The 15,141-nt window shown below is 43.3% G+C and overlaps 1 protein-coding gene and 1 long non-coding RNA gene across 8 annotated transcripts in view, besides 2 other annotated features; one reads left to right on the top strand and one right to left on the bottom strand.

Annotated features, from left to right (window-relative positions):
* The window catches only part of LEO1 (LEO1 component of Paf1/RNA polymerase II complex), a 33,754-nt gene extending 28,923 nt beyond the window's left edge, over window positions 1-4,831 (top strand). For 2 of the 5 annotated variants that reach the window (NM_001286430.2, NM_138792.4), the window contains one exon: window positions 4,596-4,831. In NM_001286430.2, coding sequence (NP_001273359.1) covers window positions 4,596-4,700 — 105 coding nt within the window. In that variant the 3' untranslated portion in view covers window positions 4,701-4,831. Of the gene's footprint in view, window positions 1-1,257; window positions 1,356-4,570 lie in introns of all 5 variants that reach the window. The other 3 variants (NM_001323903.2, NM_001323904.2, NM_001426598.1) reach the window with 3 other exon arrangements.
* LOC112268148 (uncharacterized) overlaps window positions 1-15,141 on the bottom strand; it is a 28,155-nt gene that overhangs the window by 4,440 nt on the left and 8,574 nt on the right. For 2 of the 3 annotated variants that reach the window (XR_007064635.1, XR_007064636.1), the window contains exon 2: window positions 8,502-8,606. This is a non-coding gene — a long non-coding RNA (uncharacterized LOC112268148). Of the gene's footprint in view, window positions 1-8,501; window positions 8,607-11,551; window positions 11,826-15,141 lie in introns of all 3 variants that reach the window. The other variant, XR_002957717.2, reaches the window with a different exon arrangement.
* Window positions 6,861-7,080: an enhancer, noted in NCBI's record as "active region_9409". NCBI's record gives its function as "activates an Ori minimal core promoter by ATAC-STARR-seq in GM12878 lymphoblastoid cells {active_cell/tissue: GM12878}" and the evidence as "EXISTENCE:reporter gene assay evidence [ECO:0000049][PMID:35858748]".
* Window positions 7,301-7,350: an enhancer, noted in NCBI's record as "active region_9408". NCBI's record gives its function as "activates an Ori minimal core promoter by ATAC-STARR-seq in GM12878 lymphoblastoid cells {active_cell/tissue: GM12878}" and the evidence as "EXISTENCE:reporter gene assay evidence [ECO:0000049][PMID:35858748]".

Below are 15,141 nucleotides of genomic sequence, written 5' to 3'. Positions count from 1 at the left end.
CCACCTCCTGGGTTCAAGCAATTCTCCTGCCTCAGCCTTCCTAGTAGTTGGGATTATAGGCACCTGCCACCACGCCCAGCTAATTTTTGTATTTTTAGTAGAGACAGGGTTTTGCCATGTTGGTCAGGTTGGTCTGGAACTCCTGACATCAGGTGATCCACCCACCTCGGCCTCTCAAAGTGCTGGGATTACAGGCATGAGCCACCGCACCTGGCCAAAATTTGTTTCATTGTTCTGCAACGTATTTGTTTTAAATTAGATGAGGCAACATCTTAATGATGCATTTACAGTGCTGAACAACAGGCAAATGTGAGTCCTCATCTAAGCAGATGCTATTTTTTTCTTGGCAAGTAGAAACTGTGAATGAAAATTGAGAAGTGTCATGGGACTTCTGTTTGTTTATTCCTAGTATTCTCAGAAGTGATTTTTTTTTTTTTAAGTGATCCATCAGATAGCCTTCTTCTAGGCTGGGCAGTTGCAAACCTACACTGCCTGACTTAAAAATGCCTCTTGGGAATGGCCACCTAGCTGTTACAGGAACCATCCTCTACCTCCCTTACCCAAATACTCTCTTTCAGGTCTTCCTGCACTCTTCCCTTTCCTTCCCTGACAACAAAAATTTTACTTCCGTCTGGACCTCTCAACCCCTGCCATTGCCTCTTCATGGTACCCTAGTTTGAGTCCTGGTAATGGGTTACAATGGAATAAGGAATGGGAGCATTCCTGTTCTAAGTCCCTCTCTGTGCTTTGCACACTAAAGCCCACTCAAACACCAGGAGCCTAGGTATGCCTCTGAGATTAAAGGGAGTTTTCAGACCCCAGGTCCCCAGTCCAGAGAACACCATTATCATCATAGCATGCCTTGAAATGGGGGCAAGGGCCAGTCTATATTAGAGTGAACTGCATCGATTTTGGTGCTACCCTTTCCCACTTGTATGGCCTTGGGCCAGTCATCTCATATCTCTATTTCCTCATCTGATCAATGGAGTTTATACTCGCTGTCTTGTAAAAATGTTGCATTACAGTATTAAAAACAACAGATTTGAAAGTAACACAATATGTAGTAGCTGAACAAGAAATACTATTTCCCCTTTTCCAACAGAGTCTAAGTTACCAAAAAGAAGAAAAATGTAAAAGAGAGCTTTTTATTCTCCCTCATTTTTTTAAGTAGTTAAAACTTTACAAAATCTAAATTACCTCAAAGATCTAGATAAATAGGTAGGGGGAGAAAGTGTGTGCCGGTACTCTGTTCTCCAGGAGTCTGGGAAAAGGGAAAGACCCAAGCTGAAAGAAACATGGAGACAGTGGAAAGGAGAGGTATCAAGGCCAACCCTCAGCTTTCTTAGACAAAACAGGTACGTTCTGTGAAGGATTACTCAGAATGTGATGTCAGGCAGCCTCCCCTCTGTGTCTCTTTCTCCAGCTCTCCCTCTTGAGACTCCATTTCCCCTTTGACAACCCTGCCTTATCTTCATAACTGTGGACTGTCTTTTTCTGTATCTACAGGGACCTGCATTCATGACTGTATTAGCAAGCTTTCTTTTAGACTTAATAAAAATATTTTTGTCATTTACTGCATTTATATATGACACTGGGATCTGTTGCAGTTATGTTCAGTAAGGCAGCATCCCACATGTGTAATTTCACAAAAATGAAGTCATCCTGAAGGATTCTCTCACCTTTCTAAGTCCTGGGAGTCTGAGGAACTATATACCTTTGCTCTGTGTGATGGCTGGCTGGCTGGCTTGCTTATTTATTTATTTATTTGTTTGTTTGTTTGTTTGAGATGGAGTCTTGCTCTGTTGCCCAGACTGGAGTGCAGCGCCGCGATCTCAGCTCACTGCAAACTCTGCCTCCTGGGTTCAAGTGATTCTCCTGCCTCAGCCTCCAAATCCATGCCTGGCTAATTTTTGTATTTTTAGTAGAGACAGGGTTTCACCATGTTGGCCAGGCAGGTCTCTAACTCCTGACCTCAAGTGATCTGCCCGCCTCAGCCTCCCAAAGTGCTAGGATTATAGGCACGAGCCACCACATACGGCCTTATTATTTATTTTATTAAAAATTTTTTTTTGTAGCAATTATAATTTTTTTTTTTGGTAAAGACAAAATGTCTTACCATGTTGCCCAGGTTGGTCTCACTCAAACTCCTGGCCTCAAGTGATCCTCCCACTTTGGCCTCCCAAAGCCCTGCGTTTACAGGTATGAGCCACTGCACCCATTCCCTTTGCTGTGTTTTTCTGTGCTTATGTGTAGCTGCCAGAGAAGTCAGTCCTTGGCAGGCCTTTTTTTTTTTTTGAGACGGAGTCTCGCTCTGTCGCCCAGGCTGGAGTGTGGTGGTGTGGTCTCAGCTCACTGCAACCTCCATCTCCCGGGTTTAAGCAATTCCCTTGCCTCAGCCTCCCAAGTAGCTGGGATTACAGGTGCCCGCCATCACGCCTGGCTAATTTTTTTGTAGTTTTAGTAGAGATGGGGTTTCACCATGTTGGCTGGGCTGGTCTTGAACTCCTGACCTCGTGATCTGCCCACCTCGGCCTCCCAAAGTGCTGGGATTACAGGCGTGAGCCACCACGCCCAACCTTTTTTTTTTTTTTTTTTTTTTTTGATACGGAGTCTCCCTCTGTCGCCCAGGCTGGAGAGCAGTGGTGTGATTTCTGCCCACTGCAACCTCCACCTCCTGGGTTCAAGTGATTCTCCTGCCTCAGCCTCCTGAGTAGCTGGGATTACAGGCATGCGCCACCACGCCTGGCTAATTTTTTGTATTTTTAGTAGAGACGGGGTTTCACTGTCTTGGTCAGGCTGGTTTCAAACTCCTGACCTCGTGATCTGCCCGCCTTGGCCTCCCAAAGTGCTGGGATTACAGGCGTGAGCCATCGCGCCCGGCCGGTCCTTGGCAGGCTTTCTAAAGCAGAATTTCACAGCTTCTTACTCCAGAGGATGGATTAGGACTGGTGCCAGTGAGACTTCTTTGGGAGAGCCCTGGCCATCTCCTGGCTGCTGCTGTCCAGGGGCCTTTAGGACAGGCTGTACCATCTTTTAGAATTACCATGCTAGTTCTTTTAGTGATTCAAATTTCATCTCATTAAAGGATTTTAGAGCTGAAAAGACAAACACACCAAGGCTCACTTTTGGAAGGTTACCAAAAAATAGTGATTGCATGTAAAACGTTTTAAGATTTTTCCTTTGGAAATTAAAAGACAAGTAGTGTGATTGAATGTGCTCTTTGCCTGTGGCGCTGGGAGTATTTGGGTTTGCTCTAGCCTGCAGAATAGAAAGGAGGGGCTCTTGTCCCTTCTTGGGGGCAGGGTCCATCTTTCAATATTGCTGTTTAGGTATTTCACTGCTGTCAGCTGGGAAGTAAATGGAGGAGGAGGACTTCTCTAAATACCTTACTGTGGATTCATAACTTCCCCCCTTTGAATTCTATGGCCTTTCAGGTCTGTGGGAATGTATTTGGGATAATAAGGCAGGAAACAAGTGTGAGATGCTATCTTGTCTGTCAGAGGGCCAGCCATGAGAACCATCAGAAAAAAGTGGGCATACCAGGTTGCATTCTCCATCTAGCAGCCTGTGGTCACAGCAGCAAGATGTCTGGCTTTCCCTAACTTCAACCTTCAAACCATTTGTTCATCCCATTTAATTTTTAATTTTTATTTATTTATTTATTTTTGAGACGGAGTCTTGCTTGCTCTGTTGCCCAGGCCGGAGTATAGTGGTGCGATCTCAGCTTACTGCAACCTTCGCCTCCTGGGTTCAAGTGATTCTCCTGCCTCAGTCTCTCGAGTAGCTGGGATTACAGGCGTGCGCCACCACACCTGGCTAATTTTTGTATTTTTAGTAGAGATGGAGTTTTGCCATGTTGGCCAGTCTGGTCTCAAACTCCTGACCTCAGGTGATCCACCCCCTTTGGCCTCCCAAAGTGCTGGGATTACAGGCATGAGCCATCATGCCCGGCCCATCCCATTTAGTGTCAGTTTGTTTTAATCAGTATTTGATATTTAGATACTGACATGTTCAAATTCTATCTATCTGTAAAAAATGTTTTTTAGGTAACTTCCTAAATTATTTGTTTCTGTTAGAACGTTTGTACAGAATGATTTTAAACAGAGGAAACTTGTTTATAGATGCCCTTTAATGTCATCAAATATTTTCTTAAAAACCTTTATGATGTTTTTAATGCATTGAAACAAATTGTTCCAAAAAAACCAAATCAACAGTCTTTAAAATACTGAATTTTAGATAATGAAAAGAAGTGAAATGCTGAGGAGGCAGAGAAAAAAAATTTGAGAAATTACCTGATCATGGTAAAAATATCCTGACAGGACCAGTGGTTAGACAGGCAGAACTTCCTCGGGAGAGCCCCGCCCCTTCTGTGGCAAATCCTGTCTCCAGTTTCCTGCACATCCTACTCTGTGTTCAAAGGTTTCCCTGTGAGAGATTAGTTCACAGTTGCTGACACCTCACAATCTCCCTCACAACCTGCAGGAACCGTTACTTTGAGTTGTCAGAGGGTCATTCAGCTCATAGCTACTTTTCATAAACCATCCTAAAAATGTTCTTTATTGACTTGTAGATTTGTAAAAATTGTATCTGTTTAGGAAGGTGAACCTTCCGGAAAGAGAAAAGCAGAAGATGATGATAAAGCAAATAAAAAGCATAAGAAGTATGTGATCAGCGATGAAGAGGAAGAAGATGATGATTGAAGTATGAAATATGAAAACATTTTATATATTTTATTGTACAGTTATAAATATGTAAACATGAGTTATTTTGATTGAAATGAATCGATTTGCTTTTGTGTAATTTTAATTGTAATAAAACAATTTAAAAGCAAGTCTCTATGTTTAAGAAATCTACTTTTCCGGCCAGGCGCGGTGGCTCATGCCTGTAATCCCAGCACTTCGGGAGGCCGAGGCAGGTGGATCACAAGGTCGTGGTGGCGGGTGCCTGTAGTCGCAGCTACTCGGGAGGCTGAGGCGGGGGAATTGGTTGAACCCAGGAGGCAGAGGTTGCAGTTAGCCGAGATCGCGCCACTGCACTCCAGCCTGGCGACAGAGCAAGACTCTGTCTCAAAAAAAAAAAAAAATCTACTTTTCCCAAAGCGAACTGATTTTGTTAATGCTTTAAACAAACAAAGTCTTAGGTCTCAGTGAATTCCTGCTGCTCTCTCAACCCCCTTCCTCTCATTCCCCACAAAGAAGCCTTCTGGGCCAGGCTGAGATTCTCTCACAATTCTGGAGACTTGGAGTCCAAAATCAAGGTGTGGGACGGCCATGCTGCCTCTGAAGATTCTTGACAGGGATCCTTCCTTGCCTCTCAGTTTCTGGTAGTTCCTGGTGATCTGTGGCTTTTGACAGTATGACTTCAGTCTCTGCCTCTGTCTTCACATGACCTTCCTTGTGTCTCTGTTCCGGGTCTCAGTATCTCCAGATCTCCCTCTGTTTGTAAGGACACTATTCATTGGATTTAACTCTAATCTGGTGTGATATCATTTTAACTAATTACATGTGCAAAATTCTCTGTTTCCATATAAGGTCACATACTGAAGTTGTGGGTAGACATGGATTCGGCGGGGGGTGGGGGGGTAGGTCACTATTTGATCCACAATGATAACGATGATATTGTTGTAATATAATTGTTAAAATATTGTATTCAAAATTAATGTCAAAAAATCCATAATGAACAAAATGTCAAAATTTTAAATAAAGATGGGATCTGGGCCGGGCGCAGCGGCTCATGCCTGTAATCCTAGCACTTTGGGATGCCAAGGTGGACATCACCTGAGGTCAGGAGATCGAGACCATCCTGGCTAACACGGTGAAACCCTGTCTCTACTAAAAATACAAAATTAGCCGGGCATGGTGGCGCGTGGCTGTAATCCTAGCTACTCGGGAGGCTGAGGCAGGAGAATTGTTTGAATCTGGGAGGCGGAGGTTGCAGTGAGCTGAGATCCTGCCACTGCACTCCAGCCTGGGTGACAAGAGTGAGACTCTGTCTTAAAAAACAAAAAATACAAAGGGACGGGAATTTGATTCCTCTTGATGGGAAGAATGGCAAAGGATTTGCAGGTACGTTTGAAATCCACCACACACATATTTGCCTTCTCTGTGGAGCTCTTCTGCATACACTAATCTTGTCCTTACTGACAGCCTCTACTTTTACTCTTCTTTCTTCCTGGTGCTATTAGTCCAAACTGGGAGTGGTAGTTGTGGGAGGCTTATCCTGAAGCCTGGTTATAGAGAAAGAAAAGTGACATCAAGAGAAGGGAGGCCTAAGTCATCATCATGTCACTTTCCTAACTCAGAAATCTTCAGTGCCAGCTATTTCCTGGCTAATCAAATGGAAACTCCTCTACCTGGTTTTTAAGAGCCTTCATTCTGACTCCAGTCTCTCCAAGGCAACACAGTTTTGTGTGTTTGTGTTAAACATTTTACCAGTAGACACCTGTGTCAGTTGTTAAGCTCTTGTCTCGTCTCCAAACCTACTCTTCTGTACCTGGCATGGTGGTGCTGGGGCCAGGAGTCCACAAACCAGATTTGAGCTTCACCAGCTGCCCCCTATTAGGGGGCGCCAAAGGAAGACTGGAAGCCTGGAGAACTAAGAAGGGATTGCTCCTTCCTGTTTGCTTATGGAACTTTCTGGGGGGCTTCCTGTTGACTTGCCATTTTCTGTGAGAGGACCCACCAACACTTCTTCACCTCAGCAGAGGCAGAGCCTTTCTGCAGCTGCAGAGTCCAGTTTGCAGTTTTGCCAGCACTTGGAGACCCGGCTTCATTTTCTCCCCTGAGAGACATCCGGACCAGCTGGGCAGCAGCTTTTCCTCAGGTATGAGTTAAGCTCCAGGGGGCCCTTTATGTAAGTGTTTAAGTTTTTATAATCCCCCCTCGTCCCTATGTTCCCTCAGCCCCACAGGTGGAAGCTGTTCTTTGCATATGCTATCTCTGTGAACTCTTAGAGTTCCTCTTTTTATACTTTCAATAACCTAGTCCACAACTTTAAACCGAATTGAACTTTAAAATATTCTATCTGTACAGATAACTGGTGTGTTTTCTGTTTCCTGACTAGAACCTGACTAGGTGGTCAAGGAAACGAATCCTCAAAGATGGAGTTTAGGAGTTGGTGTGGGTTTGAGTGCAGTTCTGAGCTCCCCACCAATGAGAAGGGATGCTGGTAGCCCATGGTGTCCACTGGTATCACAATGAGTCAGATTATCTCATTTACTAGAGTAGACTACAAACTGGGGAAAGGAAATACCCAGAACTGGGGGATTACTAGATGCTGGCTCAGTTGATGCTCACTCCTAGAACCTAAAACACTCCACTAAATACAAAGTGGAGACTGACAGTGGTCAGGTGATAGATGGAGTTTTAGCCCAAGTTCAACTCACAGTATGCCCTCCAGATTTACTGACCCACCTTGTGGTTGTTTCCCCAGTTCTTAAATACATGATTGGAGTAGATATATTTTGTCAACTGAGAGATTCCCCACATTGTCTTCTGATCCATGAAGCACCATTAAAGTAGAAAGGACCAAGTGGAAGCCCCTGGAACTTATTTTTCTCACCAGGATAATAAAGCAAAAACAACACTGCATGCTTGGGGGAATTGCAAAGATGAATGATACCATCAAAGACTTGAAAGAAGCAGAGGTGATGAGACCTCTTATATCCCCCATTTATTTATTCATTATTTTATTTCTTTATTTATGAGACAGAGTCTCGCTCCTTATTTACTTATTTTTGAGACGGAGTCTCACTCCATTGCCCAGCCTGGAGTGCAGTGGTGCGACCTCAGCCCACTGCAACTTCCGCCTCCCAGGTTCAAGTGATTCTCCTGGCTCAGCTTCCCGAGTAGCTGGGATTACAGACACAGGCTACCATGCCTGGCTAGTTTTTTTATATTTTTAGTAGAGGGAGGGTTTCACCATGTTGGCCAAGCTGCTCTAGAACTCCTGACCTCAGATGATTTGCCTGCCTCAGCCTCCCAAAGTGCTGGGATTACAGGCATGAGCCGCTGCACCCGGCCACATCCCTAATTTAGCTCACCTGTATGGCCTATTGGCAGATTGATCTTGGAAATGACTGGTTATCTTACACCGAATCAAATAATGACTATACTAGCGGCTGCTTTTTTTTTTTTTTTTTTTTTGAGACAGTCTCACTCTCACCCAGGCTGGGTCACTAGAATTGTGAGAAATATATTAAGCAGAGGAGGACATGTATCCTTCAAAAGCTGTAGGCAGGGCCAGGTGTGGTGGCTCACGCCTATAATCCCAGCACTTTGGGAGGCCGAGGTGGGTGGATCACCTGAGGTCAGGAGTTCAAGACCAGCCTGGGCAAATGCTTTTTTCCCCTCCATATTAATATGTAATGACAAATAGAAACAGTTTGCTTTTACTTTTTAGACCAATGGCACCCCTCATTAGACCAATGGTACCCCTTATTAGACCAATGAAGCCCCTTTGGTCTGAGGCAACAGTCTTGCCTCACAGCTACATGGACTTACCTATAATACTTTGCATATGGAGTCTGCAAAAATCGTGACCATCTTTATGTTCCCCATGTCACACTGGTCCACTGCATTGATGACATTATGCTGATGGTATCTGATCTGATGAGTAGGAAATAACTGTACTTTAGATGCCTTAGTAATCAGCGTGCAAACCAGAGAGTGGGAGATAATCCCCATCAAAATTTAGGGGCATGCCACCTCAGTGAAGTTTCTGGGGGACTAATGGTCTGGAGCATGTCTGGATAGCCCCTCCAAAATGAAGGATAAGGTGCTGTACCTTAAACCACCTACCAGTGCAAAAGAATGTTTGGTGGATCTTTCTGGATTTAGGAGCCAACGTACACTTTATTTCATTATGCTACTTTGACCTTTTGCCAAGTAAGGCAGAGATGCTACCTGTTTAAAGTGAGGACCAGAATAAGAGACTGTTCTGCAGTAATTCCAGGCTACAGGGCAAACTGCTCTTCCACTTTGGCCTAATAACCCAGCATATCTGATAATGCTCAGTGTGTTTGTGGCAAATATCACTGCTGTCTGAACCCTGCGGTTAGAATCAGCAAGAGAACTGAGTACAGGTCTCTAGGGATTTGAAACATATCCATGTCCTCTTTTGTAGACAGTCCCTTTTTTTTTTTTTTTTTTTTTGAGATGGAGTCTTGCTCTACCCCCAGGCTGGAGTGCAGTGGTGCGATCTCGGCTCACTGCAAGCTCTGCCTCCCGAGTTCACGCCATTCTTCTGCCTCAGCCTGCCGAGTAGCTGGGACTACAGGCACCTGCCACCACGCCCAGCTAATTTTTTTGTACTTTCTTAGTAGAGACAGGGTTTCACCATGTTAGCCAGGATGGTCTCAATCTCCTGACCTTGTGATCCACCCGCCTCGGCCTCCCAAAGTGCTGGGATTACAGGCGAGAGCCACCGCACCCAGCCTAGACAGGCCCTTTTAACACTTAATCATGGAACATCAAGTAACTACACAGGCTGAGCTTCTCAGAATGAACTGGGCATTTTCTGTCCCAGGAAGCCGTAAGATTGGGCGTATGTATGGCAGTCTTTTACCAATCTATTGTCTCGGCCCAATGAGGTCCAGAAGGCATGAGAAGGTTTCTTGTTTAGGTGGCTCAGACTCCCTTAATACAGACTCCTACTGAATTGCCTCTTCTGTCCCCTTCTCCAAAAGCAAAAAGCCTGGTTTCAAATATCCTCAATTTATTTACTCATTTGTTTAGTCCCCAGTATGCAAATAATAAAATGACTATGGCTGTCTGCTCAGCTCTGGGCCATACACAGTGGCTATGCAGGCCAAGTTCCTATTTAATTTATAGCTAAAAACCTCCACTCATATTGAGAATTAAAAAGATTCTAGTACTCAGAGTTCAAGAAAGGGGCAGCAACTGCAAATACCTTAAAGAAAACACCCAAGAAACTCCAACTGAATGAAATACTATGTGCTCATGTGTACTTTGCCAAATGATTTAAGATTTGACACAAATTAGGCTGGGTGTCGTGGCTCACACCTGTAATCCCAGCACTTTGGGAGGCCGAGGAAGGTGGATTACTTGAGGTCAGCAGTTCAGGACCAGCCTGGTCAACATGGTGAAACCCCGTCTCTACTAAAAACACAAAAATTAGCTGTGTGTGGTGGCAGGTGCCTGTAATCCCAGCTGCTACGGAGGCTGAGGCAGGAGAATTGCTTGAACCCAGGAGGTGGAGCTTGCAGTGAGCCAAGATCGTGCCACTGCACTCCAGCCTGGGCGACAGAGTGAGACACCGTCTCAAAAAATAAAATAAAATAAAAAATAAAAAAAGATATGACACAATTGTGGATAAATATGGACAACATAGGCTTCTATGAACATTCTTGCACAGTGCAGATACATTCAGTGTTGGGCTGGTCCTGAGCAGCACTGTTGTGAAATGCTGTTAAGCACTCTTTCTGTTTTGGTTCAGAATTTTGCTCCTTTGTTGCTACATATTTCAGCCGGGAGCCCTGGCAGGTGTTGGTTAACAGATGTCTTTGTTAGACAGCCACAATCACAATCAAAGCTACCATCAAATATACTTTGTGACAGTTTGGGGGATTCAAACAAGGGAAAAGAGTCAGCATAACTCCATTGCAAATGTCTTTTTCTTAAACTTTATAAAATTGTACAAATTATGCATCTAGCTATTCACTAACTTACTGACTTGCAATTTTTTTTTTTTTTTTTTGAGACGGAGTCTCGCTCTGCATCTCGGCTCACTGCAACCTCCACCTCCTGGGTTCAAGCAATTCTCGTGCCTCAGCCTCCTGAGTAGCTGGGATTACAGGCATGTGCCACTACGCCTGCCTAATTTTTGTAAGTTTGGTAAAGATAGGGTTTCGCCATGTTGACCAGCCTGGTCTCAACTCCTGACCTCAGGTGATCCACCCACCTCAGCCTCCCAGAGTGCTGGGATTACAGGCATGAGCCACCACATCTGGCCATGACTCAGACATTGTAACTAGGAAGATAGCCCTAAGCAATGGTGCTTTTCATGTTCTAGTAATGCACACATTTTGGCCCTGGCTCCTGATGCCACAAGTTTGTGTACTTAGGCTCACTTATGGATGCATCACTTTTAAAAGCCAGGAATTTAGGAAAGGTTCGTAACATTTTTATAGAACCTTAAGCTTTTTAAAGGGTAAACACTAGTAAAACTTCTCTAAAGAACTGGTCGGGCACAGTGGCTCAAACCTGTAATCCCAGCACTTTGGGAGGCCATGGCGGGTGGATCACTTGAAGACAGTAGTTTCAGATCAGCCTGACCAACATGGTGAAACCCTGTTTCTACTAAAAATTCAAAAATTAGCCGGGCATGGTGGTGTGTGTCTACAGTCCCAGCTACTTGGGAGGCTGAGGCAGAAGAATTGCTTGAACCTGGGAGGCAGAGGTTGCAGTGAGCCGAGATCGCACCATTGTACTCTAGCCTGGTTGACGAAGTGAGACCCTGTCTCAAAAAAAAAAAAAAAAAAAAAAGAAAAAAAAAAACATAAAAACAAATCACTCTCAAACTCAGCACTTACAATAAGCATTTACTATTATCATGCTGATTCTGAGGATTAGGAATTCAGGAATGGCTTCGCTGGTTGTTTCTAACTCAGAGTCTCTTGCAGGCTGCTGTCAAGATGTTGGCTGGCACTACATTATCTAAGGGCTTGCCTAGGGCTGAAGGATCTGTTTCCAAGATGGCTCACATGGGTTTTGGCAGGGGCCTTAGTTTTTCACTATGTGGACCTCTCCATAGGCAGTTTGAATGTCCTCACGGCATGGCAGGTGGCTTTCCCCAGAGCAAGTGACCTAAGACAGAAAGAGCAAGACAGAAAAGCCAGTGTCTTTCATAGCCTCATCTCGAATACAGGTTGTATTCTGCTGATCACATAGATCAATCATGACACAGTGTTGGAGGAGACCACACAAGGGCATGGAAACCAGAGGCAGGAATCACTAGGATGGGCAGGAACCTTGAAAGCTGGCTGCCACAGTGATTACCTTTCACCCACCAACTCTGCCTCCTCCTTTCTCCAAAGACACGCTAGTTAGTTAAGCTTCTGAGAACCTGGCTTAGGGAGCCAGTTTGAGGTTGGTTTAGTGGAGATTTGGCTTATGAATCTTTGGACTATGTTGAAGTGGTGGACCAAGAACTAACTGTGTAAAGAACTTTAGTTGGAAAAATTAATACTGTGCATTTCCCCCCAACACCGAAGATCCTAGTGGGACCATGGATCTGTTTGGAGATATAGACGACGTTTCTTCTGAGAGTGATGAGGGCAATCAACCACCTATTCCAGGACAGCTGATTGTAAGTACGATCACCAATATCAACCAATCCCATTATTCAAAGCTAAAAAAGAAAGCTTCAGAGGCTGATGAATCTGTCTTTCTCATGTTGAGAGAGGACGTGGATAGCTGAACATCTGATGAATAGGTGACTTTCTTAGCTATATTGGGAATTTCTGGATATAAGAAGGCACAGAAGGAACTACCCAGAATAAGGGTGATGCCAAACTTTAGGGGCTAGACTAATATAAAATAATATAAAAATATAATTAATATGTAATATAAAAACCTTTGATTTAAAGTTTTTTCTTATTCAAGCCTATGACAAGAAGCATGAGCTATGCTGATATTCTGATTTTAATAGTTGTCTAGTATTGATGGGGTGAATAATTTCATACTTCTGTTGCTGAATATATTATGCAAAAAAGTCAATAAAATAGATACTTTTTTCTACTAATGTTGGCTAACAGATCTTGTTTTCCTGTGTTTTATTTGTTTTGTTTTGTCTTCCTTTTTTTTTTTTTTTTTTTTGAGACGAAGTCTCTAAGATTACAGGCGTGAGCCAGTAATCCGCGCCCAGCCTGTTTTGCTTTTTTGTAGGCATGAGGTGAGGTTTTAGGGAGAAGCTTGGAAGAGTTGCTGACTGTTTTATCCCTAAAGTGGAGTGTAAATTTACTTCCCAACCAGGGGTGGTGGCTCACGCCTATAATCCCAGCACTTTGGGAGGCCAAGGTGGGCACATCACCTAAGGTCAGGAGTTTGAGACCAGCTTGACTAACATGGTGAAACCCCGTCTCTACTAAAAATACAGAAATTAGCCAGGCTTGGTGGCACGGGCCTGTAATCCCAGCTACTCAGGAGGCTGAGGCAGGAGAATGGTTTGAACCCGGGAGATGGAGGTTGCAGCGAGCCGAGATCATGCCACTGCACTCCAGCCTGGGTGACAGAGTGAAAACTCCATATCAAAAAAAAAATTTACTTCCCGTCAAACCTGCATCTGCCTAGTGCAGGATGAGTAAAGCTAGCACATTTCTAATGTCTTCAATCTCTCACATTCTGATACCTTTCTTAGGATGAACATGGAGTGCCTCAGGACCAGCAGGAGGAAGAGCCAATTTCTGAAACCATAATAGAAGAAGAAATTCCCAGTATCAACTCTGATTTAGGAAATGAATTGTATTTTGTTAAACTACCCAAGTTTCTCAGTATAGAACCCAAGTAAGAGGACTGATTAAAATTTTCAAGATATTAAAAAAAATGCGTAGAATAAATATTTTTTCTTATTTGTCATGAGTTGACTAATCACAAAGATGGGAAATTTCTCATATAACTTTGAAAAATATAAATCTAGGATGTGCTGTGGTAGAAAAATGAATCACTGGTGAGAGAGAATTTTAATGCTAATAATTTTTCTAGCATTTTGGCACTTTCTTTTACATAAACAGATCACAATGGATGAAGGTGTTTTTCACTGGTATAAAGCTGACAAATCAGAAAACAAGAGTGAGAAAGTCTGCTAGAGAAATCACAAATGTTCTGGCCAGGTGCGGTGGCTCATGCCTGTAATCCCACCACTTTGGGAGGCTGAGGCGGGCAGATCACTTGAGGTCAGAAGTTTGAGACCAGCCTGGGCAAAATGGTGAAACCCTGTCTCTACTAAAAATACAAAAATTAGCCAGGCATGGTGGCGCACGCCTGTAATCCCAACTACTTGGGAGGCTGAGGCGTAAGAACCTCTTAAATCCAGCAGATGGAGGTTGCAGTGAGCCGAGGTTCTGCCACTGCACTCCAGCCTGGGTAACAGAGTGAGACTCTGTCTAAAAAAAAAAAAAAATTACAAATGTTTAATGCAAAATCCATTGCGAATCTAGAAAAGACAATTATTTTGTACTACAAAATAGTGTCAGTGGGTATGATTCACTAAGGTACACGCATGCAAGCTCTTATGCTTAACACATTTTCTTAAAAAATAAGGGAAGACAGTAAGACCTGTTGCCTATACTTTGGAAGACATATTTCATCAAATAACATTTTGAATTGTTAGTTGCATTTGAATTTCATTTCAGGCAATATGTTTTAGAGACAAATTTCAGAAAGCATGGTAATTTGCATACTTCTTTGAAGGTTTACATGAAGTTATTTGTCTACTGTGATTTTTGGAAACACATGAAGGCACATTGTGGGGATGATTAAATATAATATTAATCATATTCCTTACTAAATATGGCTAACATGATGTTAAAAACACAATTTTTAGACCTTTTGATCCTCAGTTTTATGAAGATGAATTTGAAGATGAGAAAGTGCTTGACGAGGAAGACAGAATCAGGTTAAAATTAAAGGTACCATCCTACACTTTATTCCTTTTTTACGTTTTTCCTTTTATAAAGTAAAGCAGGGATGACAACTTGAGACTTGAGCTTGCGAAATCCTCTTATGATTCTTGTTCAATAGCTCTTTAGACCTAGGAATTAAACACCTTTTCGGAATATTTTTACGGGAGGAGGTATGTGCCCTTTTTTATCCCTGTAGAATTGTCACTTTCTTCTTTTGGTTGCAGTTATGCTTTTTTTGACATAAGTAAAGATAAAAATTTTTGAAAATTGTTAGCTACTTCCTTCAGGATAAATAATAATAAGGTATATGGAATTGCCTCCACATTTTACAGTGGGTGGATCCTGGCAATTTCCCACAACAGAAATATCTCCTTTCTTCATGGATATTCAAACTATGCACAAAAGAGACCTTGTCATTAGGTGGTTCCCTCTTGAAGGCCTGGGACGGCAAAGTACTACCAACTGCTTTCACAGGCGTGTTGTTCTTCCTTAAGGGGGTT

This window comes from Homo sapiens, chromosome 15 (assembly GCF_000001405.40).
Source record: "Homo sapiens chromosome 15, GRCh38.p14 Primary Assembly".
Lineage (NCBI taxonomy): Eukaryota > Metazoa > Chordata > Mammalia > Primates > Hominidae > Homo > Homo sapiens.
This window is presented reverse-complemented; position numbering and strand designations above follow the sequence as displayed.